The sequence below is a fragment of the Homo sapiens genome, chromosome 1 (assembly GCF_000001405.40).
Source record: "Homo sapiens chromosome 1, GRCh38.p14 Primary Assembly".
In the NCBI taxonomy this organism is placed as follows: Eukaryota; Metazoa; Chordata; class Mammalia; order Primates; family Hominidae; genus Homo; species Homo sapiens.
This window is the reverse complement of record NC_000001.11, coordinates 229,254,345-229,279,973: the sequence shown is the minus strand read 5'-3', so window position 1 is coordinate 229,279,973 and position 25,629 is coordinate 229,254,345. Positions and strand designations below refer to the sequence as shown.

The window sequence follows — 25,629 nt, the reverse complement described above, 5'->3', positions numbered from 1 at the left end:
GCCTATGTAGGTTATATAACTAAGTGTCAACTGGTTAAATAATTGTGCCCACTTAAATTAGATTCGGTGTTTATTATAGTGAACGTTAACTTGAGGGCTCAAATTCACAATAAATTTTTCTCACTCAGTTTATAATTATATTCACCTGATAAGGGTTTTCTCCAGAATGAATTAAGATTGAAGGGAAAGACCACACCCCAAAACAGAAAATCTAAAACAGATACATCCTACTAATGTACTTTTAACTTTCCGTATGAGAAAAGTCAAATGAGATAATAGGAAAGGTATCAAATAATTAGAATTCAATCTTGAGCAAATGTCAGCCATTCAGGAACACAGACAAAATAAAGACCAGGAAAAAAAGGTCTCCTAGCCACTGAAATAGCAAACATAAAGCCAAAAAAGATTAACTCTACAGGAGACACCTCATTTGGAATTGACTGACTTGTTTTACATTCACTTCAAGCAGCCTCTATTACCTAATGCCCCAAACTGCAGTAGATCAAAGGTATATACTAAAGTAGGACTGTGAACTACAGGCACAAAGGCAGATGGGGACAGCAGGGGATGAGCTAGAAAGTGGCCGTAATAGCACAGCACATTCTGTGCAGCAGTCAATAGTCAATGATGACCTTGAGTGTTCAAGAAAATTAAGCCATATTCAGCAGACACGATGACCTCTGCCTTCCTAGTTTTTTCCCCAAGCAATCGTCTTGCTTTCAAGATTTCCAAATGTCAGAAAGGAAGCACGGATGTATGGCCTCTGACTGTATGATGCATTTCATGTGTCCTACTTCCTGGCAGAAAAGGCTAAGTGCTGTGGTATAGCACTAGAATTTGGGTAGAATGGAGTCATTTAAAGAAGGTTTCCTTCTTTAGGAATTAAAGGCTTAGGGTCTGTGATTACGAAAACTGAGATAAGAGATGCTGAAGGTTCTGAGAAGGAATAGGCTTTAAGGTAAAATAATAAGTTGCCAATTCAGAGATTAAGTTGAAAATACCTGTAAGCCAACACAGTGGAGATTTGGGGAAGCAGTTCTTATAAGGGCCGAATATGAAAAGAGAAGCTAAGTAAGATAAAGGCTGCCAAGTGTCCACTGACTGATCATCAGCATCTCTGGTGAAACCAACATCATTTCAGGTGGGGGCAAAATCCTAATTACAGTCAGTTGAAGAATGAAGGAAGTAAAACTGTTGACAAAAAGTACTGACAGCTCTTATAAGCAGTTTAGCTGTGAGGGAAAGGAGAGACAGAGGTGGTTAAAGGAGGAAGGCGCAAAGTCAGGAAGCTACCAGTGGAAAGGGAAAAGGAGGGGAACAGACATGATGGGTGAAGTGGGGACTTGAAGCTTTAGAGATGGGGTCCAAAGTAGAAGGCTGGGGTTAGTTTTAAACAACAGAGACCTTCTGAGACAACATGGAAAGGGTTAAGGATGAGGTAAGCAAGTTTGCAGACATGGCATCTTTTCCTTACATCTACTGGTGGTCATCTACTAGGAGTGAGAGAATGGGCTTGAGGAGATGTGTGAAGGTTTAAAATAGCTGATGTGGAGAGAGAGGTGGCCAGGATAAGAAAAATGATTGCTAAGTATTACTGAGTACCCAGCTGGAAGCAGAGACCATACATCTGCAATGATCTCAATCTAAAAGGAGCTCTGTCTGCACAGCAGGCAAGGCAGATGGCTGGGTAGCCAGGGCTGGAGCTGTGCAAAGTGTGTGTAGTTGAAAGAAAAAGAAGGACGAGGTGGAAGGAAAAGCCATGAGTCTTATCTGAAGAGAGAGCAGCTCATTGCCTGAAAAGAAGAAAGGGGCCAGGCATGGTGGATCATGCCTGTAATCCCAGCATTTTGGGAGGCCAAGGTGGGTGGATCACTTGAGGTTAGGAGATCGAGACCAGCCTGGCCAACATGGTGAAACCCCGTCTCTACTAAAAATACAAAAATGAGCCAGGCGTGGTGGCGCACACTTGTAATCCCAGCGACTCAGGAGGCTGAGGCACGAGAATCACTTGAACCTAGGAGGTGGAGGTTGCAGTGAGCTGAGATAATGCCACTGCACTCCAGACTGGGCAACAGAGTGAGACTCTGTCTCAGAAAAAAAGAAGAAAGGGAGGAGATGGACCAGCAGCCTGAAGCTCTTACAGTGAAGACTGGATGGAGTTGGAGTGGTCAGAATGGGATAGGTGACAAAGTCCAGGGAGCAGTCAGGGAAGTGAGTACCTGAAGAGGTGGTAGAAGAGACCTGACTTCATCTTGACTAAAGTCAAGGAACTGTGGAGCGGAGTTGTTGATTGACCTCTGCAAGGACAATGCAGTGACCTAGGATCAGTCAGGAGTTAGAGCAAAGAGCAAGACCATATGATAGATGACCTTGTTGAAAAAGGACTATCCCCAGGGTCATCAGATAACAGCAACGAGGAGCTGGCAGAGGACAGAATATAAGATGACATGTACTTTAAAGGACAAAAAGTTTTGGTACAATGGTCAGGGAGGAATTGAACAGTGGGAACCTTGATGAAATGCTGGTTAGGAGAGGTGGAAGGTTTGGGCAGCAGAAGAGCACACGACCTGTAGAGGAGCGGGAAGAATAAGAAGTAAAGGAGGTGGAACAGGCAGCAAAAGCTAATCATGGGACTCTGCAGTGTGCCTGTAGGAGCCGCGGTTTACCTAAGCCTGAATTAAACGTTGTCGGCACAGCGGAATCCTGACGCTTGTAAATTTAACATTTGCAGCACAGACTCCCAACAATTGCTCCAGGTTCGTGATTGGGTCTTTGATTTTCCTGACCCATTCGTTGGGATCACACACACTGAGGAGGCTGATTTGAGGAAGGCAGTTACTTAGCAGGCCAACTCTTTGTTACTTTCCACTGATATAATAATAATTTATATAAATATAAATAATTATATATAAATTATAAATAATTATATATAAATTGTAAATAATTTATATATAAACTATATATATTATATATATCTATATTATATATAGATATATAGTTCTTCTAAAGTGGAAAACTACTCCCATCCTGGCCCAGGAGGCTCTTGTATCCTCATGAACCCAGGTTCCAGGTGCTGTGGAAGCTGCCTAGGGACAGTGGTGCAGATGCTGTGTGGCAAGCTGTAAGATAGTCAGCACAGCTGCTCAAGTCACTACGACGAAGAACTTTGGAATGAAACCCAATTTGCTTACCTTTTAATCATGTAAACTGGCCCTAATTTAACTTTCCTTTGCATCTTTCAGGGTAAACAGTAACTTAAACCATGTTAAGAAGTCAGCTCAAAAGACTCTGAAACCCAATAGATCCAGGAGGTAAGGATGGGGAAGAATTAAAAATGGACTCTAACTTTATCTTCTAGGCAAACACAGGAAAAATAGAAGATGGGGCATAGGCGTGAATAATTTGTTGGGTTTGGGACGTACTGCATTCAGATGCCTGTAGGCCACCCAGGTGTAGTTAGGTAGCTGAAAAAAAGATCTGTAGTTTGAGTGAAGGATGTGACTAGAAATATAGATGTTACAGTCATCAGAGCATCAGCAGTAAAGTCACAGGCATGGATTGGAATACTTTACAGTTCAAATGACCATGAGAAAGAATATTTTGTTTTTTCAAAAAACCATGCTTTCAAAGTTCTCGAGCATGGAGTCATTACATGCCTCCCTGGACCAACAGCACCTGCACGGCCCGGGAGCTGGTCAGATGCCGATCTCCCTCACCCTCCAAGTCAGGATCTACATTTTAATACACCAGGGGACTCGTGTGCACATTAGTTTGATAAGCCACTGGTGCAATGTTTCCCAAACTTTGGTACTTGAAATGTTCACCAGCTTTCAGTGAATGAGAAAAAGAAAATGACAAACATGTATAATCATATATTTATTCAACTTGAAGAAATGTCCTTTGTTTTGGTGTTACAGGATTCCTTTGTTGACATGTTTACCTGTTCCATCTTTCATGAAATTAAGGTAAAGGGCAATTGGGGTGATTTCCCTAAGAGCAAGTTATTTCATACTTTATTGGAACCAGGTGACTTTGAAATGCTATTTATACACGGGCACGGTGGCTCACGCCTGTAAACCCAGCACTCTGGGAGGCTGAGAAGGGCGGGATCATGAGGTCAGGAGTTTGGAGGCCAGCCTGACCAACATAGTGAAACCCCGCCTCTACTAAAAATACAAAAAAAAAATTAGCTAGGTGTGGTGGCGGGCGCCTGTAGTCCCAGTTACTTGGGAGGCTGAGGCAGGAGAATCGCTTGAACCCGGGAGGTGGAGGTTGCAGTGAGCCGAGATTGTGCCACTGCACTCCAGCCTGGGCAACAGTGAGAGACTCTATCTCAAAGAAAAAAAAAAAAAAAAAAAAGGAAAAGAAATGCTATTTCCTTTACCAAGGATATCTTCTTCACTTCATCTTGCCTTGTCATCCTAAATTTCTCATGAATCGTATTTTGATGAGCAAAGCCTATATTTTAGTTTCTTAGGGCTGCCATCACAAAGAACCACAAACTGGGAAGCTTAAAACAACAGAAGTTTATTGTCTCACAGTTCTGGAGGCCGGGCATTCAAATTCAGAGTGCTGACAGGGTCAAGGTCTCTCTGAAGGCTCAAGGGAAGGATCCCTCCTTGCCTCTCTCTAGCTTCTGGTGGTTGCCAGCCACCCCTTGGCACTCCTTGGCTGGTAGATGCATCCCTCCAATCTTGGCCTCCATCCTCACATCTCTTTCTCTCTGAATGCATTTGTGTCTAAGTTTCCCTCATCTTATAATGACACCAGTCACTGAATTAGGGCTCACCATAATTCAGTACGATGACCTCATCTTAACTTGATTACATCTGCAAAGACCTTATTTCCAAATGCGGTCACATTCACAGGTACTAGGGGTTAGGACTTAAACAGATATTTTGGGGAACACAATTCAACCTGAACAGCCTAAAATGATACATTTTTAAGGAAAATATTCTGATAATTCTCAAAATTATATGGCAAATACTGTAATACTGTGCTGTTTTCAAAATGAAGCACAAAATAAAAACATTAAGAGTATATTTTAATAAAAATGAGCATAGAACCAGCAATTTGAATTGTATTCTTCTGTTTCATTTGTTATTCCCATTGTAGACGGCATAAACTCTAATATATGTAGAGATTTTGTATTAGATTTTTCCTCACTCTCGAACTGCCCCAGCACTTAATTTCAAAAGAAATTCCTGGCATTTTCCCACTACATATACTTTTCAGCTCCTTTCTGAACATCGCTGCTTAGCATCAAAATTACTTTCAGCCAATTTGTAATCTCCCAGGTCTCAGATGGCTGAAGCAGAGTTCCTTGGGAAGTCCCAAGCCATACTAACTGGCCAGGGCTTTAAGAATGTAGTGTATCTAATGGCATTTGGTAGAACTGTTTCATATTCAGACTAAGGGTTTCATCCAAAACCTAAGATTTCAATTTGTTTCACGATATTACATAAAGTACAGTATTCATGTGGTGACTTCAAAGCAACAAAAATGTTCAACACTACTCAGTCTATGGAAGGTGAAATACTGTTTTAATATGTTAAAAAGCATATTAAATGAACACATTAATGAGAGGTAGCTCATAAACAGTACATTTCAGCAGGGCACAGTGGCTCATGCCTGTGATCTCAACATTTTGGGAGGTGGAGGCACGAGGATCACTTGAGCCCAGGAGTTCGGGATGAGACTGAGCAACAGACAGAGACCTCGTCTCTACAAAAAAAATTAAAAAAAAAAAAAAAATTAGCCAGGTGTGGTGGCATGCACCTGTGGTCCCAGCTACTCAGGAGGCTGAAGTGGGAGGATCACTTGAGATGGGGAGATGGAGGTGGCAGTGAGCCGTGATTGTGTCACTGCACTCCAGCATGGGTGACAGAGCGAGGTCCTGTCTCAAAAAAAAAAAAAAAAAAAAAGGGAAACAAAAACCCAGTACATTTCATTCCTCATCTCTCTGTCAAGCTACACAGAGCCTCCTTTTACAGAAGAGCAAATAAGCACAGAGTACAAAGGAGTTTAAAGGTTAGGCAAACATTCCTTCACCAGCTCAGAGGCAAATGTCCAGAAGAGAGCCTGACTGTTTCACTTTTAAGGAACAATGCTGTATAAATATGGCCACTGATACGTCAAAGTGACAGCCTAGGACTTGGTTCTAGGTGACTTTTACTTCAGCTTGGCAAACTTCAACTGTCCTGCTTGCTCCTTCTAAAACTCATTTTCTTTTTTTGAGACAGAGTCTCACTCTGTTGCCCAGGATGGAGTGCAGTGGCACAATCTTGGCTCACTGTAAACTTCACCTCCTGGGTTCAAGCAATTCTCATGCCTCAGCCTCCCAAGTAGCCGGGACTACAAGCGTACCACCATGCCCAGGTAATTTTTTGTATTTTTAATAGGGCTGGGGTTTCGCCATGTTGGCCAGGCTGGTATTGAACTCCTGAGCTCAAGTGATCCGCCCAACTCGGCCTTCCAAAGTGCTGGGATTACAGGCGTGAGCCATCACCTCTGGCCTCATTTTCTATTTATTAGTTTCTACTAGTTTTCGATTAATTTCCTCTATTAGAAGAAAAGATTCAATTCAGAGTTGCAAAGTAAAAACATACTTGGAAGTTACCATGAAATAAGAATACTAATGGTCAAAGCCTTATGATCAGAATGTAATCAATCTGTGAAGCTCAAAAGTTCAGTTAACTGTGTCTGAAGTGGAGATGCCAAAGATAAGCTCTATTTTATCAGTTGTTATCATGCGTATACGAAAAATGAAACATAAAAGCTCTATCTCCTGAACTCTTCCAATCCTTTCTTACTGATTCATGACCCCCACTTGCTTTTCTTATTTGGACATTCCACCCTTCCCCTAGTGCTCCGTGCTCCTTACTCAGGTTAAAGAAACTAAGCCTGGGCTAAAGAGCACTTGAAAATAAAGAAGTGCAAAGATGTAACCAAAAATTGCTAAAGACCATGTTTTCCTTACAACATTTCTGACTGTGGTTCTCTACAGGAAGAACCAGACCACTGCCATTTGCAGAAACATTTGCAAACACTTGTCCTGATGAAGGCATCGACTTACTGGAGGATTTCCTACGCCTTCTAGGAACAGATGTCATGCCCCTTTGTCACCAAGAACAGGGCAGTACCAGTCACAGGAGTCACTCACTGAAGGTGGACCAAATGCACTGTGACCCCAGCATGGAAGCCCTTCCAAAAGTTCCCATTTTTTCTTACAAGACAAACTGACGCCTTCCTCAAGACCCTCTCCTCTCTGCCTCCTCATCCACCTCTCCAGCGTGGTACTCAAAACACACCCTTCTTGAGTTACCCTTCCCACAGGCCTGAGATGTTCTGCGTGCTGCCTGGTTAATGCCTCCCTGACACCCCTGTCTGGGTCATCTTTCTTTCTAACACACTTTCACGGACCACACTCCTTCAGAACTCTTGCCTGGTTTTTAATTATTCACTCATTAGTATCACAATTGGATTAATACTGCATTCCCTCAATAGACTACGCTCCATGAGACCAGAGCCGTGTCTGCTGTGTTTCTGCAGGATGTACAGCCCTCCCAGCACGGTGCTCGCTTCCCTAATGCCATTCCACAGTATTTGTTGCAGAGAAGGAAGCAGCATGCCAGGACAGATGGAGACAGGACTAATTTGGCTTGAGGTATGTAATTTTGAACTTGAGCCTCTCTCTGGGACTGTAAAACTCCAAATCAAAGTCTTAATCTGAGAATACATACATCTGAAAGAGTGATTAGGGACTGGTAAACATCTATTAATATTCAACTCTGATACAAAGTACAAGTTGTTTATTCTTACCACGCAAGGCCAAAAAAGGGGAGAAAAAAAAAAAAGCACACAGCATATGCACTGGGAAAGCTTTCGCTTATTCAAAACAGTATTTGTCAAGCACCTCCAGGTCTGGGTGCTGCAGGGGAAACAAAGATTAAACAGCCAGGGCTTTGCTTCCAAGGTGCTTACGGTCTTAAGAAGGAGACAAGACATGTTTATAAATAGCCAAAATGCAACCCAGAAAAGGCTAAAAAACACTGAGAGGGAGGGAGAAATAAACGAAGCAAGAGGTCTCCGGAGGAAGAGATGAATGAATTAGCCTATTAATAACTCCTCACTGTAATCCCAATGTAAAGCAAGGAATTCCAAACCAGGAAAGGTCAAACTGAAGTATTTGAGGAACACAGGCGTCGCCCTAAGCCCTTCACAGGCTCGCTGGGGATAATATCGCAGCTGAAACCGAACATCAAGCTGGCTTTTCAAACCTTCAGTTATTTACATTAGACTGAGAGGGGAAAAGCGCTAAGAGTGCAAGAGCAGAGAAAGAGCAAGAGGAAACTTGAAAAGGCGGATCACGCCAATGCGCTGTGCACAGCGCCCCCGCGCCCCGCGCACCCGCTACCCCACCCGAGCCCCCAGCGGCCCGCGTCCCCCATCCCGGTCCCAAGCCCAGACACCTCCGAGATCCGTCCCCCGGCTCCGGCCGGCGCCACCGCCACCCTCAAGACCCCCGCAGCCCAGGCCCGGCCCCGCGCCACCGACGCCCCCCGCGGCCCGACCCGCGCGCCCCGCCAGCCCGGGCCTCGTACCGTAGGTTTCGGACATGGCCGTCTGCGACATCTTGGGAGCGGCGCCGCCTCTCGCCGGGTCACCGGCTGCACTCGCCCGCGGTCCGCCGGCGCGTCTCGGTGGGGAAGGACCTGGGGCGGGGGACCGGAGGAGGGAGGGGCCCGACCGGTCCCCACGGCAACCGCCGGTCTCCCAGCGGCTGCGGCCCAGCCGGACTCCAGCTCCGCGCAGGCGCAGGGCCCTCCACCCTCCGTCCGGCCGCGACCGCGAGGAGGAAGAGGAGATGGGCTACGCGAGGCCCGGCCCACCCCGCGTTCGCGCGTGCGCACGGGGAGGCCGGGGCGGGGCGCGTGAGGACTTCGGCGCGCGCCGGAAGCACGTGCGCGGGCTGGGCGCTCTGGCGGTGTGCGCTGAGGTGGGCAGAGCGGCAGGTGGGGGCGTTGGGGGCTGAGTCCCGATTTCCCTGAGGGAGGGTCGGGTAGAGGCGGGCGGTGGGCAGGTTTGGGGGTGACAGAGGGCTGGGGACAGTGGGGTCCAGTTGCCGGACAGAGGAGGAAGGTGCCCGCACTGGGGAGGAAAGCAGTCCATTTGCCAAATTGGCCCGTCTCAGTTAAGACGTTGTCTTCGGTCATCATCTGCGGCTGTCAGCCAGGAAAAAACTTCCCTGACGCTGTTACGATGGAGGCCAGAACTTGGTTAATGTGTAACAAGGAGGCAGTAGGCCCCAGGTGTCCAGCCAGAGGCCGCCCTGTGAATGGGAGGCAGGTTCATTTACCCGTTGGGAAGCTAAGCTTTCACTCCAAACTGCCGGGCCCTCTTGGATGGAGCTGAGCGGGTGTGGGCGGAATGACAGAAGCGCAAGATGCCCAGGTGCTAAAAGGTCATCGCAAGACTACAGGCTGCAGCCTCTCCACATCCCATTTTAGAGGGTTCTGGATTACGGTTGAGAAGTATCTCCCGGCCCTCAGCTGGGGATGTGTTTCCAAATTTAGGAGTTTTTTTAATTTTTATTTTTTAACAGGGTCTGGCACTGTCAGCCCAGCCCAACCGATTCTCCTGCCTCAGCCTCCTGAGTAGCTGGGGCTAGGGGCTCACACGACCACACCGCGCCAATTTTTAAATTTTTTGTAGAGATGGGGTCTTGTTATGTTGCCCAGGCTGGTCTTGAACTCCTGAGTTCAAGCATCCTCCCTCCTTGGCCTCCCAAATTGCTGGGATTACAGGCATGAGTCATCTCACCTGGCCTTGGATAGTTTGGTTTCAGAAGCAAAACTGAGTTAGAATCCCCTTCTGTGGGAAATGTAGAGATAAACATTTATGGGAAAGAGAATTTTGGTTGAGGATTTGGCCCATCTGAGCTTGATCAGGGCCACATAGCGCCTCATAGTTCCCAACCTTGTTCACAATAGGTAGTCGAATGCTCAAAATATCCTTGGCTAAGCTCCCAAGTGACCTGGACTGTGTGGAAAATGCCAGTACATACTTTTGTGTGTGTGTGTGTGAGTCAGTTTGGCTCCATCCTCCACATAAATTGGCATCAGAGCTTCCCTCTTCCCCAGTGGCTATTTGGGTCGGTATTTTTCTCTTGTCTCCGATCCTAATAACAAATAAATGCAGTTTTTTCTAAATCACAGAGAAGGCCCCATGGTGAAAAGTTGTGACAGCTGTAATTCCTAAAACTGTTTTATATATATTTCTTGTTCAGTGGCTCAGATCATTTGTTGCTTTCTTGTTTGTCTCTCTGCATGTCGTGTTTGATTTAGGCTCCTGAGTATAACAGATTGGTTCTGATTAAAACCATTTCAGAGGAAAGACAGTGATCCCAGGAAGCGGGAAGAAAACAGCATCACCTGAAGTTATTCCTATTCGTTAGATTTGTTTTCTTCCTGCGAAAAACTGCTATGTACAAGAAAGAAGTCAGTGAGCTGCAGTGATAGTTAGCATTATTGACTGAAACTGGACCAGAGATCCCTGAAACCTGGACAAGGTGGTAGAAATACAAATTATGCTGCCATTTCAAAGCTGTGGGCAGTTTTCTACTTTGTGGAAAATGAAGACTTAGGTAGGCCTTTGGGAAAGACGATTTGTTTTGGAAAAACCACCCAAAGGGATCATTTGGTTTGCAAATGTAACTGCAGTATCACAACTGGAAGAAGAAATATACAAGGGCGAGGTTTGAAGGAGCCCTTCAGTATCCTTGGATGATACTGTGGAAGATTCTTTGCATCTCAGTAACTTTGGATCTTTGAAGATCCAAGAAAATAAATTTCTTCAAAATATTTTTAGAGACTGCTTTGATTCTGAGGCACTGCTGATTATATGGAAGAAAAAAATATTGGAAGATTAATTTGTGGTTTTCTCCAGTTATCGTCTCCCTTCTCTTTGGGGGAGGTTTGTGACGCAGTAAAAACAGATATACAAAAGCCTAGGCATGTTAGAGATTTGCCTAAGGGAAATGTAATTATGAAGAAGGATTTTTTCAAGCTGAAACTAGATCCCACTTTTTTCCAGGTCAGTGGGTCCTTCAAGTATCTGGTACTTTCCTTCCTGCTTCCTGACAATGTTAAAGAATGTGGCATGACCTTACATTTAATGCCCAACGTGAGGAGCCCTGGGGCTTGATGCATGAGATTCTTGGAGCTAGGCCTGGTGGAGGGCACTGGTCACAGCCTCGGTGGAATGGTGACTTTCTTTGGTAACTGGAATTGAAGAAAATGAGTGGACTTGTGTCTGAGCACTTGGGAACTCAGCAATCCCTGGGTGTTACCTTGAGAAGGAGCCAAATTCCAGACATACAAGTGGAGACTTGAAAATGGAAGCTCAATTCCACACCCAGGCTGGTGGAGACTATGACATATAACTCACATCTTCAAGAAAGTAGACACCTCAGAGGTCACTGGGCCACTTTACCTTCCACTGTCAAAACTATGTCCATGATCAGATACCTCTGTTGCTAGGGAATATTCAGTCAGAATGGGCTAGATTAACTGCAGTAATGCAGATCTCTCAACCCATTTATGACTTACGCAGCAAAGTTCCTCGCTCAGACTACCTGTCCACTCCCACGAGCAGAGACTTGCTCATGGGCCCTCCTAGACCCAGGCTGACCGAGTGTGTTTTATCTAAATGCATCTCCACAATCACTCAGGTAGGAGTGGCTATGCATTAGGACTGATTGTGCATTAGTTAGAGAAGCACTTACCAGGAATTGCTATAAGAACTTCTATTTACATTTCATGGGCCAAAGCAAGTCATGTGGCAACACTTAATTTCAAAGAGGACAGGAAATGCAATATTGTTATGTCCCTGAAAGAAAGGAGAAGAGAAAGTCTATGGAAAGACATTATGACTACCACTGGAATTTTCACCTGTCCAGGCAGCTCATCGTGCTTTTATTTGAAACAATTTTATTGAAGTATAGGCATAACTGCACATACGTATGTATTTATTTTATTTTATTTTTTGAGATGTAGTCTTGCTTTGTTGCACAGGCTGGAATGCAGTGGCGTGATCTCAGCTCACTATGACCTCTGCCTCCCGGGTTCAAGTGATTCTCCTGCCTCAGACTTCTGAGTAGCTGGGATTACAGCCACGCGCCACCACACCTGGCTAATTTTTGTATTTTTAGTAGAGACGGGGTTTCGCCTTGTTGGCTGTGCTGGTCTCAAACTCCTGACCTCAGGTAATCCGCCTGCCTCAGCCTCCCAAAGTGCTGGGCAGCCTCCCAAAGTGCTGGGATTACAGGCGTGAGCCACCGCACCTGGCCTGCACATATTTAAAGTGTACATTTTGACAATTTTTAATATATATGTACGCTTGTGCTTGCTGCTCCAGGGGACCGCTATTTCTAGGCCTTTTCAGTGGACAGAGGCATTTTTGTGATTGTTTTATCTCATTTGTCACTTAGGAAGAATAACTTCTTGTGAGGTTTAGTGGTGGTTTTGGGGTTGATAGTATAGGTCTTCATCACAGTCCACCTCCAAGTGATAATACACTACTTTATACAGAGTATAAGAAACTGACAACCATTTGCTTCCATCCTCCCCCAGCATCTGTGCTGGGGATGTTGTACTTCTACATATGTTGTACACCCACATACATTGTTATTGTTTTTACTTAATAAGCTACTAATTCTCTGTCTCTCTTTTCCTTTTAATTGTGGTAAAATAGACATAAAATGTAGCAACTCAGCCATCTTGAAATGTACAGTGGCATTAAATATATTCCCATTGTTGTGCAACCATCACCACCATCCATCTCTAGAACGCTTCATGTTGCAAACCTGAAACTCTGTACCTGTTTAACAACAACTCCCCATTCACTTCTCCCCACAGTGCCTGGCAACCACCATTTTACTTCCTGTCTAGGAATTGGCTTCTCTAGGTACAGTACCTCATATAAATGGAGTCATACAGTATTTGTCTTTTCCTCACTGTCGTATTTCACTTAGCATAATGTCCTCAAGATTCATCTGTAACATTGTAGAATGTGTCAGAATTTCCTTCCTGTTTAAGACTGAATACTATTCAATACTTTGTACATATATACTGCATTTTCAGCCAATTCTTTTCAATAGATTTAAACAATAAGAAAAAAGTGTTTTATATTTACTCACATAGTTACCATATCTAAGACTCCTTATTCTCTTGTATAGATTAGATTTCCATGGTCTCATTTCCCTTTTGTCTGAAGGGCTTTCCTTGACAGATCTTGAAGTGTAGATCTCCTGGTGACTAATTCTTTCAGCTTTTATATGTCCAAAAAAGTCTTTATTTCACTTCTGTGTTTGAAGCTATTTTTGCTCAATTTCGATTTTTAGGGTTTTCAATTTTTTTTTTCTAACATGAAGATACTGTTTCAGTGTTTTCTGGCTCATTTTGTTTCCGATAAGGAGTGAACTGCCATTCTTATCTTTATTTCTTTTATGCAACGTGTCTTTTATCTCTGCTTGGTTTTAAGATTTCATCTGTATCACTAGTCTGAAGCAATTTGATTATGATGTGCCTTGGTGTTGATTTTCTTTAAAGTTCTTGTCCTTGAGTTTCACTGAACTTCTCTGGTCTTTGAGTTTATAGTTGCTATCAGATTTGGAGTTTTTTCAGCCATTATTTCTTCAAATATTTTTTTCTGCCCCTGCCTCTCCTTTCCTTTGGCGATTCTACTACACAAATATTAGATCACTTGAATTTGTTTCACAGCTAACTCAGGCTTTGTTCATTTTTTGTCAGTCTTTTTTCTTTCTGTTTTTCATTTTCGTGTAATTTCCATTGCTGTGTCTTTAAATTCACTCATCTTTCCTATAGTATCTAATCTGCTGTCAATTCCATCCAGCGTATTTTTCGTCTCAGGCATTGCCATTTCACCTGCAGAAGTTTCACTCGGTGTCTGGACCTGCATCTGGGTCCTCTGGTTTCCGTGTTTAGTGCTCAAGCATATGGAACATGTGTCATTTCTACTAACTTTATCACCTAAGTAATTTCTGAGATTGTTTATATTGATTGGCTTTTCTCTTCATTGTAGGTAATATTTTCCTACTTTACAAGCCAGATAATTTTTTATTGAATGCCAGACATTGAGAAGTTTACTTTGAGATACATATAATGTTTATTTTTATGAATATTTTTGAGCTTTGTTCTGGGGTGCAGGTAAGTTCCTTGGAAAGAGCTTGATGCTTCAGGTCATGTTTTTACACTTTTTTTAGGGGGTGGGCCCTGAGCAGCATTCTACTCAACAAATCCTTGAGTTGTGAAGGTTTTCACCATGATTGGCGGAATTCGGAGTTCCTCTGGGCCGTGCGTGAGTGCTGGGGATTGTTTTCTCTAATATTCGCTGGTGATTCTTTATCTGGCATGGGGTAGGAGTGCCTACCACAGTAGGAATTTGAAATGCAGGTATTTCTTCACTTGCCTGCACTGCTCAGTAAAGACTTGAAGGGAACCCTCTGCAAACCTCTGGCACTCTCTCTCTCTCTGTACAGCTCTGCACAACCCCCAGCTCAGGGAGTGCTGCTTCTTCCTCCTGTCTGACTCCAGAGCTCAGTCTGTGGCAGTCTTTCTCTGCAGTCACTTACTTGCTCATTCATTTCATCTGGTCTTAAGGCTTTCAATATGATCTAAAGCTGATGATTCCTTAATTTCTAGCTTGCCTAGGCTTCTATGTACAATTGCTTACTTGATACGTCCACTTGAATGAATGCCTATTAGGTTTCTTAATACTAACGAAATAAAAACCAAGGCCGGGCACGGTGGCTCACGGCTGTAATCCCAGCACTTTGGGAGGCCAAGGCGGGTGAATCACAAGATCAGGAGTTCAAGACCAGGCTGGACAATATGGTGAAACCCTGTCTCTACTAAAAAATACAAAAAATTAGCCAGGCATGGTGGCGCGCACATGTAGTCTCATCTACTCAGGAGGCCGAGGCAGGAGAATCGCTGGAACCTGGGAGGCAGAGGTTGCAGTGAGCCGAGATCATGCCACTGCACTCCAGCCCGGGCGACAGAGCAGATTCCGTCTCAAAATAAACAAACAAACAAACAAACCAAACATCCAGATTTCTTGACCAAACCAGTGCCTTCTGCAATCTTTTGTATCTCAGTAAATGGCAGTTTGCCAGGTGTATTAGTCAGGGTCGGGGTTCTCTAGAGGGACAGAACTAATAGGATACATGTATATATGAAAGGGAGTTTATTGAGGAGAATTGACTCACACGATCACAAGCTAAAGTCCCATGATTGGCTGTCTGCAAGCTGAGGTGCAAGGAAGCCAGTGGTGGATCAGTCCAAGTCCCAAAACCTCAAAAATAGGGAAGCCGACAGTGTAGCCTTCCATCTGTGGGCAAAGGCCCAAGAGGCCCTGGCAAACCACTGGTGTAAGTCTAAGAGTCCGAAAGCTGAAGAACTGGGAGGCTGATGTTCAAGGGCAGGAAGCATCCAGTACGGCAGAAAGATGAAGGCCAGAAGACTCAGCAAGTCTGCTTTATTCTAGCCGCTCTGGTAGCCGATTAGATGGGGCCCACCCAGATTGAGGGTGGGTCAGCCTCTTCCGGTCCACTGACTCAAATGTTAATCTCCTTTGGGAACACCCTCACGACACACCTAGGAACAATACTGTGAATCCTTCAATCAAGTTGACACTTAATATTAAACATCACACCAGGGCCAAACCTTGGGAGTCCTGCCTGACTTCTCACACCCACATTTGATCCATCAGCAAGTCCTACAGGCTCTACTGTCAAGAGCATCCAGAATCTGCTTTTGCTACTCCCACTGCCTCACCCCCGAATCCTGGCCACCTCCTGGACCAGCCCGCCTCACCTCTCTCCTGCCTTTTGCAGCTACCTCCCCTTCCTGCTTCTATGCTTGTCTCCCTGTGTTGTCTTTTCTCAACACAGCTGCTAGAGCAATCCTATTAAAATGTAAACAAACAAAACCAAAAATAAATGACAATTCTCCTTTAAAACAGCCAGTGTTGCCTGTAATCCTAGGACTTTGGGAGGCCAAGGTGGGTGGATCATTTGAGGTCAGGAGTTCGAGACCAGCCTGGCCAACATGGTGTAACCCCCCAACCTCTACTAAAAATACAAAAATTAGCCGGGCGTGGTGGGGGCGCCTGTAGTTCCAGCTACCTGGGAGGCTAAGGCAGGAGAATCGCTTGAACCCGGGAGACAGAGTTTGCAGGGACCCGAGATCATGTCACTGCACTCCAGCCTGTGCGACAGAGCGAGACTCTATCTCAAACAAAACAAAACAAAACAGCAACAAAAAAACAGCCAGTGTTGGGGGGAGGAGGGGACTATAGGTCCCATCAGGCCACCCTCTGCTCAAAGCCTCATCTCACTCACAATGGCCTATAAAGTCATCCATGGTCTGCTCCCCCAACCCCTCATTCTCTTGACTCTGATCCTACAGGCCTTCTTGCTGGTTCTTATACACATCAAGCAGCCTTTGGCCTCAGGGCCTTTGCATGTGCTTTTTTCCTCTTCCTGGAATGCTCTTGTCCCAGATGTCTACATGGCCCTCACAGCCCACATGTGTTCTGCTCACAGGGCACCTCATGAGGAGGGCTTTTCTTTTCTTATATGAAATAGCAACCCCTCTCCATTTCATCCCCCCAGCACTTCATTTGCCCCCTATTTTGTTCTATGCCCCACTCCATAGCATTTAACATCACTTAAAATACATATCCTTTATTAGTTTATTGTGTGCTCCCTCTCTAGATTATAAGTTCTATAAGGGCAGGAAATGCTTTGGCCTTGTTCCCTGCTCCATCCCCATGCCTAAAATAGTATTTGGCACATAGTAAACCCTCAATCACTCGGAAGATGTTGAATGAGTGAATGAATGGAACAAAACTCAGCAGCTCTCTATGGATTTAATGTAATGAACTTAATTGTAAATATGTTGATTTATGGGAAATTTAAAAGTGGGGGTCTCTGGCCGGGCTCTGTGCTCAGACCTATAATCCCAGCACTTTGGGAGGCCGAGGCAGGCGGATCACTTGAGGTCAGGAATTTGAGACCAGCCTGGTCAACATAGTAAAACCCTGTCTCTATTAAAACTACAAAAATTAGCTGGATGTGGTGGTGCATGCCTGCAATCCCAGCTATTTGGGAGGCTGAGGCAGGAGAATCTTTTGACCCCGGAGGTAGAGGCTGCAGTGAGCCAAGACCACACCACTGTACTCCAGCCTGGGTGACAGAGAGAGATTCCATCTCAAAAAAAAAAAAAAAATAGTGGATCTCTTATATGCTACCAAGTGATTGTGGGAAGGCTATAATAAAACTAAAGTATCGTCTAATACTAGTATAATTTATTGAGTACTTGATAAACACTAGGTATAGTGCTAAGTGCTTTACATGTATTAGAAAACCTAATTCTTACAACAGGTTTATAAGGGAGGTATTATCCCATTTTACAGATGAAGAAACAAAGGCCCAAATGGATTACATATTTTGTCCAGTTTCCACAGCTAGTATGTATCAATGTTGGAATTGCTATCTCAAACCAAACCAAACTGACACCTCTCCTTTTAAAAATGCAATATAAAAAGCCCAAAACACAGAGCTATGATTTCAAAAGGCATTGAATTATTTAATGCCTAAGGAAAACAGCGCTCTGTTGAGCCAGGCCCTGTTCTGGGTGCTTTATGTCACTTCCCTTGATCCTTACACCACCTGACAAGGTTGCTCTTCTTATCTTTATATTATAGTCAAGGGTGACATCCAAACCAGGGCTCTTTATTGCACTGTGATGCCAAATAAGTATGGAGACACAGATGAGAAAGGGTTTGTGGTAGAAAACATTCCCAGAGCACTTCTATAAATTCAGCATAAGCTCAGGTTAGCTTTAAGATAGAAAATAGTCCTGAAGTTATCATCCAGTTCTCTAATATGAAACTCAAATCTTTGAGTCTGTCATCCTCCAAAGCACAGAGATTTTGTTTATCTAACAGGAATATGCTGCAAATAACAGTCTACAACATTAAGCCAAGGCTAGAGTTGTGGATAGAGTTCTTGAGTTCAGTGATACGATAATTTCCTACCTTCATCTTCTCATTTGAAAGTTACCAGCAAATCTTCCATCAGTTCTAATGTGATGCATCTCTGCTTATTTCTGCATTTAACAGCATTGATACCCAGGGATTATTCATTCGAGTCATTTAAATTCTTGTTTTGTATTCAGAAAAAGAGGATTTTCTGGTTCCTCTTTTCTTTTTAATTATATTTATGTGTTTCCTCCATATTCTGATAAAAGTACCATAGAATTATCTTTTATTTACTTATTTATTTTCGATACTGTGTTTCAAATTAAATGGCCTGTTTTCAGCCTGGTTTCTTATTTAAAAGATAGTTTTCACAAGAACTGCTTAAAAAAAAATTCTCCGTGGCTCACGCCTGTAATCCCAGCACTTTGAGAGGCCGAGGCAGGCAGATCACGAGGTCAGGAGTTCGAGACCAGCCTGGCTAACATAGTGAAACCCCGTCTCTACTAAAACTACAAAAATTAGCTGGGCATGGTGGCAGATGCCTATGATCCCAGCTACTTGGGAGGCTGAGGCAGGGGAATTGCTTGAACCCAGGAGGCAGAGGTTGCGATGAGCCAAGATTGCGCCACTGCACTCCAGCCTGAGGAACAGAGTGAGACACCGTCTCAAAAATAAAATAAAATAAAATAAAATAATCCCTGAACACCACCAACTGAAATTTTCTTTTATGGTTAATTTTAACATTTTAATCAGCTTTACTGGGGTATAATTTTACATACAACAAAATTCACCAATTTTAAGTGTACAATGAGTTTTGACAAATGTACACGGTCATGCGACAACTTCAACCTCGTCCCAGTATGGAACTTTTCTGTCACCCCCAAGAGTTCCTTTATGCCTTTTTCCAGCCCTTTGTGGACTCATTTTGAGACGTTTTGGTAACGGATTATTGGCTTTCACATGGGAAGATGTAACCTACTCCAGGAAACTAAGGTGGGGGTTTCCCCACTGCACAGACCACCCACCATACGCTCCACCTCTAGACCTCTCAGCAGCCTGTCTTTCTTGCCCTTTCAAACATCTTCATTTGTGTTCCACCAGACAGTAGCCAATACCATTTCCATCTATCAGCTTGGTGAAATGTGCCCTTTAATGGAAGACTAATGAGGCCTAATAGAAAAAGCTTCCTGGCTTTATTGATGTTCCCTGTGACTTTACAGGAGAGAGAGAGATTTAGGTCAGAGTCATTAGACTTTCTCTTCCTTTCCCTGAAATTGTGTGGACTAGCAGCCAGGTCAGCAGGCATGCAATCAAACTCTGGTGTCGCACCATGTCACCTTCCTGGATTAGATGACTGGGGCCGCTGTAACAAAGTACCACAGACCAAGTGGCTTGGACAACAGAAATTTATTGTCTCACAGTTCTGGAGGCCGGAAGTCCAAGGTCAAGGTGTCAGCAGGGTTGCTACCCTCTGAATGCTGAGGGAAATTCTGTTCCAGGCCTGTCTCCTGGCTTCTGGTGCCTTACTGGCCATTTTTGGTGTTCCCAGCAAGTGTTGCTCCTATCTCTGCTTTCATTTTTTGTTTTAATTATTTCTCTTTTTTGAAATGGAGTCTTGCTCTGTTACCCAAGCTGGAGTGCAGTGGCACGATCTCAGCTCACTGTGATCTCCGTCTCCCGGGTTTAAGTGATTCTCCCGCCTCAGCCTCCTGAGTAGCTGGGATTACAGGAGCGTACCACCATGCCAGGCTAATTTTTGTATTTTTAGTAGATGTGGGGTTTCACCATGTTGGCCAGGCTGGTCTCGAACTCCTGATCTCAGGTGATCCACCACCCCCCCTCCCCACCCAACTCGGCCTCCCAAAGTGCTGGGATTACAGGCATGAGTGCTGCGCCCGGCCGACCCCAGGTATTTCTAATGCAGGTGGTCCCACATTTGGAGAAATCCTGCTGGGGGTTGAGGAATGGTTTTGTTCCTAAAGGCACTGCCACTTGTGGAAAATGGAACAGAGAACAGCAGAGATTGAATACAGCATTAAATGCAGTGAGTGAGAAAATCCTTATGTCTGAGCAGTGAGGACATGTTGCTCGGAGATATTTCTCAGTTAGAAATATCTATGGGTTAGAAACATACTATGGGCTAAATGAGAGCTGGTAGAAAAAGGGTGGTTGTCAACTTCCCCTGTTCTTTCCCGAGTCTCACTCTCCCTCCTGCATTCTCTCTCCTTTCTTTCTTTCTTTTCTTTTTTTTTTTTTTTTGCGATGGAGTCTTGCTCTGTTGCCCAGGCTGGAGTGCAGTGGTGCGATCTCGGCTCACTGCAACCTCTGTCTCCTGGCTTCAAGCAATTCTCCTACCTCAGCCTCCCGAGTAGCTGGGATTACAGGCACCCACCACCACGCCCAGCTAATTTTTGCATTTTTAGTAGAGACAGGGTTTCACCACGTTGGCCAGGCTGGTCTCGAACTCCTGACCTCAGGCGATCCTCCCATCTCAGCCTCCCAAAGTGCTGGGATTACAGGCGTGAGCCACTGCACCCGGCCCTCTCCCTCCTTTCTTAGGGAGGAGCTCGACTCAGAACTTTTCCTCGATCCTCTCTGTTGAGATGGTTGATTTCCTCCTTAAAACATTATCTGTTCAGTTTCTTTTAAAAATTTACTCCCCCTGCCCCCATTCTGTAGGAATTGTTGGGTATTGGCTGGGCAAGGAGTTTGGAGCTCTCTGAGCTGATAATGTAAAATCTTTGAGGGGAGAGACTTGAGCTTTCTTTTTTTTTTTTTCTCCTGTAGCATCTGTCCCAGTGTCAGGCACATTTTAGGTGCCCAACAAACATCTGTGGAATGAATGAATGAGTGCTGGCACCACCTATAAGCACACAGTAAGGATAACCATGGAGAGAATATGCCGAGCCTTTTAATCAGCCCAGAAGAGCGCCTTCTGTGTTAAGGCGAAATGCCAGAATCCCAAGGAACAGATTCACCACCCAGGGGCGGGACTCAGGGACTGCTGATACTGAGGCTGCCCTGTGGGTTTTCCTTCCAGATCCCTTCTTGATTTGCCCAAAAGAATTTCACGTTTTGTTTCAGTTAAGGAGAGGCCTTTCCTTACTGCTGACTTTAAGGAAACTGGAAATTGTGCTTGTGGGGGAAGTGGCTTTGGAACTTGGGGCCTCTTTGGGACCTGGTAGGCAATGGGGTTTGGGGGCAAGTTTGTGGGACATGTGTCTGAACAGGAAGGAAGGGAGGAGCAGTGGGGCCAGCCAGGAAGCAGTGCCGAATGCAGATTTCTCTTCTTGTGCAGCTTTGCTTAGAGTTGAACATTACTTCCCAGAGATAGATTGACCCCAATCCTGCAGAGATTGGCTATCCTGCTCTTCAACTTATTTTTAGATATATGGTCTCACTTGAATCTCACATCCAATGAGGAGTTCCTGACCCCTCAATTTAGCTCCACCTGGCATTCCAGAGCAATTCAAGGACCTGGTAGGGCTACTAGCAATCCACTGCTACATATAGGGGAACAATGAGTTTTAAAGCTGCTCAGAAATCTGTGATTCGAGTATCAGGAAATCCTTGACTCTTTATCAAATGTGAAGTTGCTGATTTAAGAAATAAAGTTAAGAAACAATATTCATTAACAGAATGGAATTTAATGCAACCGCTGGTGTTTTGGGGTTATTTTCTGGTCACATAGTGCCCCCTGGTGGGTTCACTGACATACTCTTCTGGAATGCTCCTTTCCCAGGCTGTGCTTTGTGACAAGGCCAGCACCAGCAGGGTGATTCCAAGAATTTGCAGTTTAGGCACAGTCCAACGATGCTCTAAAGATTGTCTGTTAAGGGAAAATATGAGTTATGAAAATGCTGTGGGTTGTACTGTATCCCCCACCAAAAGATACGTTAAAGTCCTAAGCCCCAATACCTGTGAATGCAGACTTATTTGGAAAAAGGGTCTTTGCAGATGTAACTATGAAACTAAGGTGAGGTCATTAGGGCAAGCCCTTAATCCAGTATGACTGTGTTCTTATAAGAGGAGGAGAGGCTGGGTGCAGTGGCTCACACCTGTAATCCCAGCGATTTGGGAGGCTGAGGCGGGAGGATCGCTTGAGCCCAGGATTTGCTGGGCAACATATCGAGACCCCATCTCTACTAAAAATTTAAAAATTAGCCAGACATGGTGGCACGCAGCTGTAGTCTCACCTACTTGGAAGGCTAGTGGGAGGATGGCTTGAGCCCAGGAGTCCGAGGCTGCAGTGAGCTATGATCATATCAATGCACTCCAGTCTGGGCAACAAGGGAGACCCTGACTCAAAAAAACAAAACAAAAACAAAACAAAACAAAACAAAAAAAGAGGAGGAGAGAGACACACAAGGAGAGAATGCCATGTGACAATGGAGACAGACACTGGACTGATGCACCTGCAGACCGAGGAATGCGCAAGGATTGCCAGCAGCCCCCAGAAGCCAGGAGCGGGACATGGAATAGAGTCTCTCTCAACCCCTCAGAAAGTTCTAATCCTGCTGATGCCTTGATTTTGGACTTCAGCGTCCAGAACTGTGAGATGAGATATGTTTGTTGCTTAAGCCTCCCGGTTTATGCTGCTTTGTGATGGCAGCCCAAGCAGACGAATACAGAAAGAAATGGGGATTTGAGTTGGAAGAACTGCTTTGAGTCCCAGCTACCACTTAGTACCTGAATGACCTTGGGCAAAGAAGTTCAATTTTTCTGAGCCTCAGTTTTATAAACTGCAAAATGGAGAAATACAAAAGTAACTGTTCTCCTGCCTCAGGATCCCTGTGAGGATGAAGTGTGACTATGTGTATAAAAATATTTTGTTTATTGTACAGCACTGTGTACTGCAATCTTATTACACAAAGAAAGGAAGGTGGGAGGTAGTAGAGCGGAGTGATTACAAGCTAGGCTCTGGCTGGGCACAGTGGCTCATGCCTGTAATCTCAGCACTTTGGGAGGCTGAGGTGGGTGGATCACCTGAGGTCAGGAGTTTGACCTGGCCAACATGGTGAAATCCCATCTCTACTAGAAATACAAAAAAAAAAAAAAAAATTAGCCAGGTGTGGTGGTGGGTGCCTGTAATCCTAGCTTCTTGGGTGGCTGAAGCAGAAGAATCACTTGAACCTGGGAGGCAGAGATTGCAGTGAGCCAAGATCGCGCCATTGCACTCCAGCCTGGGCAACAGAGCGAGACTCCATCTCAAAAAAAAAAAAAAAAAAGCTAGACTCTGAAGTCAGTTTGCCAGGGTCTGTGAGTGGAAATGTTACAAAGAAGCTTCTCATGAAAACTTGACTCTCAAATGAGCCAAAGGCAGTGATGCCCAGAAATGGAGTTGTGGTAACACTTAAAGGAATGTATCAGTTGTCTATTGCTCTATAATGAACCCCAAAACTTAGTAGCTTCAAATGATTAGCTTATTCTTTCACACGGTCTCCGTGGATCAGGAGTCAAGGGCAACTTAATTGGGTGCTTCTCACTTGGAGTCTCTTGTGAGACTACAGTCACCTGAGGTTTAGACTGGGGCTGGAGGACCCACTTCCCAGATGGCTCACCCACCTGGCTGTCGGCAGGAGGCTGCAGTTCCTCTCCATGTGGTCGTCTTCACAGGTCTGGTGAGTATTTTTACAATATGGCATCTCCTCATTCTTTCCACCTCCCCTTCCTGCCCACCTCACCATGCCCAATGTATTTTTTCTCTTGTCAGTGATTCTCAACCTGTATGGAGTCACAGGCTCACTGTGGCCTAATGAAAACTAGGGACTCTTCCTGAGTAAAGTACACATATGCATTTACACAGAATATTCTAGATAGAATTTCAAGGGGCTCCAAGGTTAAGTACCAATTGGATCCACAGAGAGCTCTGTCAAACGTGAATCAAATTGTGTAATTCCCTGTTTGAATCCTTCTGTGACCCCCACTGTCCATAGGATAAAAAACTTCTTTAGCACACCATGATCTGACTCCAACTTACTTTTAATAACAATAACCTTATCATCACATGGAATGTCTTCTACATGGCAGACACTTTTCACACTTTCTTCCTAATTCTTAGAAGAACTCTGCAAGGAGTGGATTTTATGATTCCATTTTAGAGATAAGGAGAAGCTCAGAGCTGAAATCTGGCCGATTCAGCACCTGCCTCATCTCCCCCACACCCCCAAGTGAATGGTTGAGTTTAGGGGAGCCCGGATTCTTCTGACTCTGAAGCTGGCATCCCTCCAGGCCTGGCCACCCCGCTTTCTGCCCCTTCTTGTCTACTGCCAGGCACGCTCCTTTCTGTTGCTTCAGAACCACTCATCATTTCCAGACATGCTGTGGGTTTTGTGTAGGAAGCTTTTTCTACCTTAAAGGTCCTTTCTTCCCATCTTGTCCTCCTCCTCCAACCTTCTCTAATCATTGTGCTCTGATATCCTATTCCTTCTTCAAGACTCAGGGTGTCATTTCTTCCATGATCTTTTCCTGAACTATGACTTTCCAGTGCTCCTTCACATATTCCACGGCAACCACCAGGCTGTGTCATAATTTCTCATGTACTCACCTATATACTTACTACCCCTAGACTGTTTCTTGAAGGCAAATATCAGTCATGCCTTTCTAACCTTTTTATAAATCTAGCTTTTCATAGGATAGGTGTTCACTGTATATTTGTTGAGTGAGTGAATGAATGAATGAATGGCATTTTCTGTAAGAATTCCCCCTAGCATGTAAATTATCCAGCTTTTGAATAAATGTAGCTAGGATCTAGGGCTTCTTGAGGCTTCAGTCTTTTTAGGATATCTCTCATGAGCCTAGGGGTGGCAGTGTGATGCCACACCTGAAAATACTCTGCCATTTTCAAAGCTTTAACATTTTGGCACCCAAGGGGAGAAGCCACAGAGTTGATCTGTGCCTAGCTTTTGTAGTTAACCTGTCTCATTTGAACAGGCAGGGAAATTGACACTCTGAGAATGAAAGTATTTCTACCCAAGGTCTTGTCATTTAATGTTGTGCTGAATAGGGACCAGGAGCTGGATGTCCTGAGCTGCGTGTTGAGATCTTCTCCCTACAGACAATGTTGAAGACTTGTAAAGGTTCTACCTCTTTGAAATTTTTTTTTTTTTTTAAGATGGAGTCTCACTCTGTTGCCCAGGCTGGAGTGCAGTGGCACTATCTTGGCTCACTGCAACTTCCACCTCCTGGGTTCAAGCCATTCTCCTGCCTCAGTTTCCCCGAATAGCTGGGATTACAGGCATATGCCACCACGCCTGGCTAATTTTTGTATTTTTAGTAGAGACAGGGTTTCACCATGTTGGCTAGGCTGGTCTTGAACTAACGACCTCAGGTGATCCGCCCATCTCGGCCTCCCAAAGTGCTGGGATTACAAGTGTGAGCCACCACGCCTGGCCTACCTTCGAAATCTTAAAGGGCAAAGCTGACTTCAAACAGACTTCAAGCAGTTGTTTTGGTATGGCTCCATTTTAATAAGAAAAAATATAAATATGTAGATGGATACATCGACAAAGTGGTAAAAGAATATGCATCAAGTAATAACTGTTATCTCTGGGATTAGATTAA

General features: G+C 44.6%; 1 protein-coding gene and 3 long non-coding RNA genes across 7 annotated transcripts in view, besides 3 other annotated features; 2 read left to right on the top strand and 2 right to left on the bottom strand.

The window, feature by feature from the left end:
* Nucleotides 1-8,863, bottom strand: part of RAB4A (RAB4A, member RAS oncogene family) — a 34,784-nt gene extending 25,921 nt beyond the window's left edge. For all 3 annotated transcript variants that reach the window (NR_073545.2, NM_004578.4, NM_001271998.2), the window contains exon 1: nucleotides 8,604-8,863. Coding sequence is in view for 1 of the 3 variants with exons in the window: in NM_004578.4 (NP_004569.2) it covers nucleotides 8,604-8,634 (31 nt within the window). In the remaining 2 variants the exon portion in view is untranslated. The remainder of the gene's footprint in view (nucleotides 1-8,603) is intronic.
* Nucleotides 8,322-8,481: a silencer, noted in NCBI's record as "silent region_1926". NCBI's record gives its function as "represses an Ori minimal core promoter by ATAC-STARR-seq in GM12878 lymphoblastoid cells {active_cell/tissue: GM12878}" and the evidence as "EXISTENCE:reporter gene assay evidence [ECO:0000049][PMID:35858748]".
* Nucleotides 8,522-9,051: a silencer, noted in NCBI's record as "silent region_1925". NCBI's record gives its function as "represses an Ori minimal core promoter by ATAC-STARR-seq in GM12878 lymphoblastoid cells {active_cell/tissue: GM12878}" and the evidence as "EXISTENCE:reporter gene assay evidence [ECO:0000049][PMID:35858748]".
* On the top strand, nucleotides 8,820-23,082 carry RAB4A-AS1 (RAB4A antisense RNA 1). 2 transcript variants are annotated; one of them, NR_149312.1, is made up of 3 exons: nucleotides 8,820-8,998; nucleotides 10,347-12,020; nucleotides 20,854-23,082. It is a non-coding gene; the product is annotated as an RAB4A antisense RNA 1 (long non-coding RNA). The 2 variants fall into 2 exon arrangements; NR_149313.1 differs by lacking the exon at nucleotides 10,347-12,020.
* LOC124904540 (uncharacterized) overlaps nucleotides 21,694-25,629 on the bottom strand; it is a 4,931-nt gene continuing 995 nt past the window's right edge. The window contains exon 2 of the long non-coding RNA XR_007066924.1: nucleotides 21,694-21,895. This is a non-coding gene — a long non-coding RNA (uncharacterized LOC124904540). The remainder of the gene's footprint in view (nucleotides 21,896-25,629) is intronic.
* Nucleotides 23,276-25,629, top strand: part of LOC102723935 (uncharacterized) — a 14,009-nt gene continuing 11,655 nt past the window's right edge. The window contains exon 1 of the long non-coding RNA XR_426935.4: nucleotides 23,276-23,687. This is a non-coding gene — a long non-coding RNA (uncharacterized LOC102723935). The remainder of the gene's footprint in view (nucleotides 23,688-25,629) is intronic.
* Nucleotides 25,328-25,629: part of an enhancer, noted in NCBI's record as "NANOG-H3K27ac hESC enhancer chr1:229389520-229390393 (GRCh37/hg19 assembly coordinates)", that runs on past the window's edge. NCBI's record gives its function as "activates a minimal SCP1, AML or CMV promoter by ChIP-STARR-seq in primed H9 embryonic stem cells {active_cell/tissue: H9 hESC(primed)}" and the evidence as "EXISTENCE:reporter gene assay evidence [ECO:0000049][PMID:30033119]".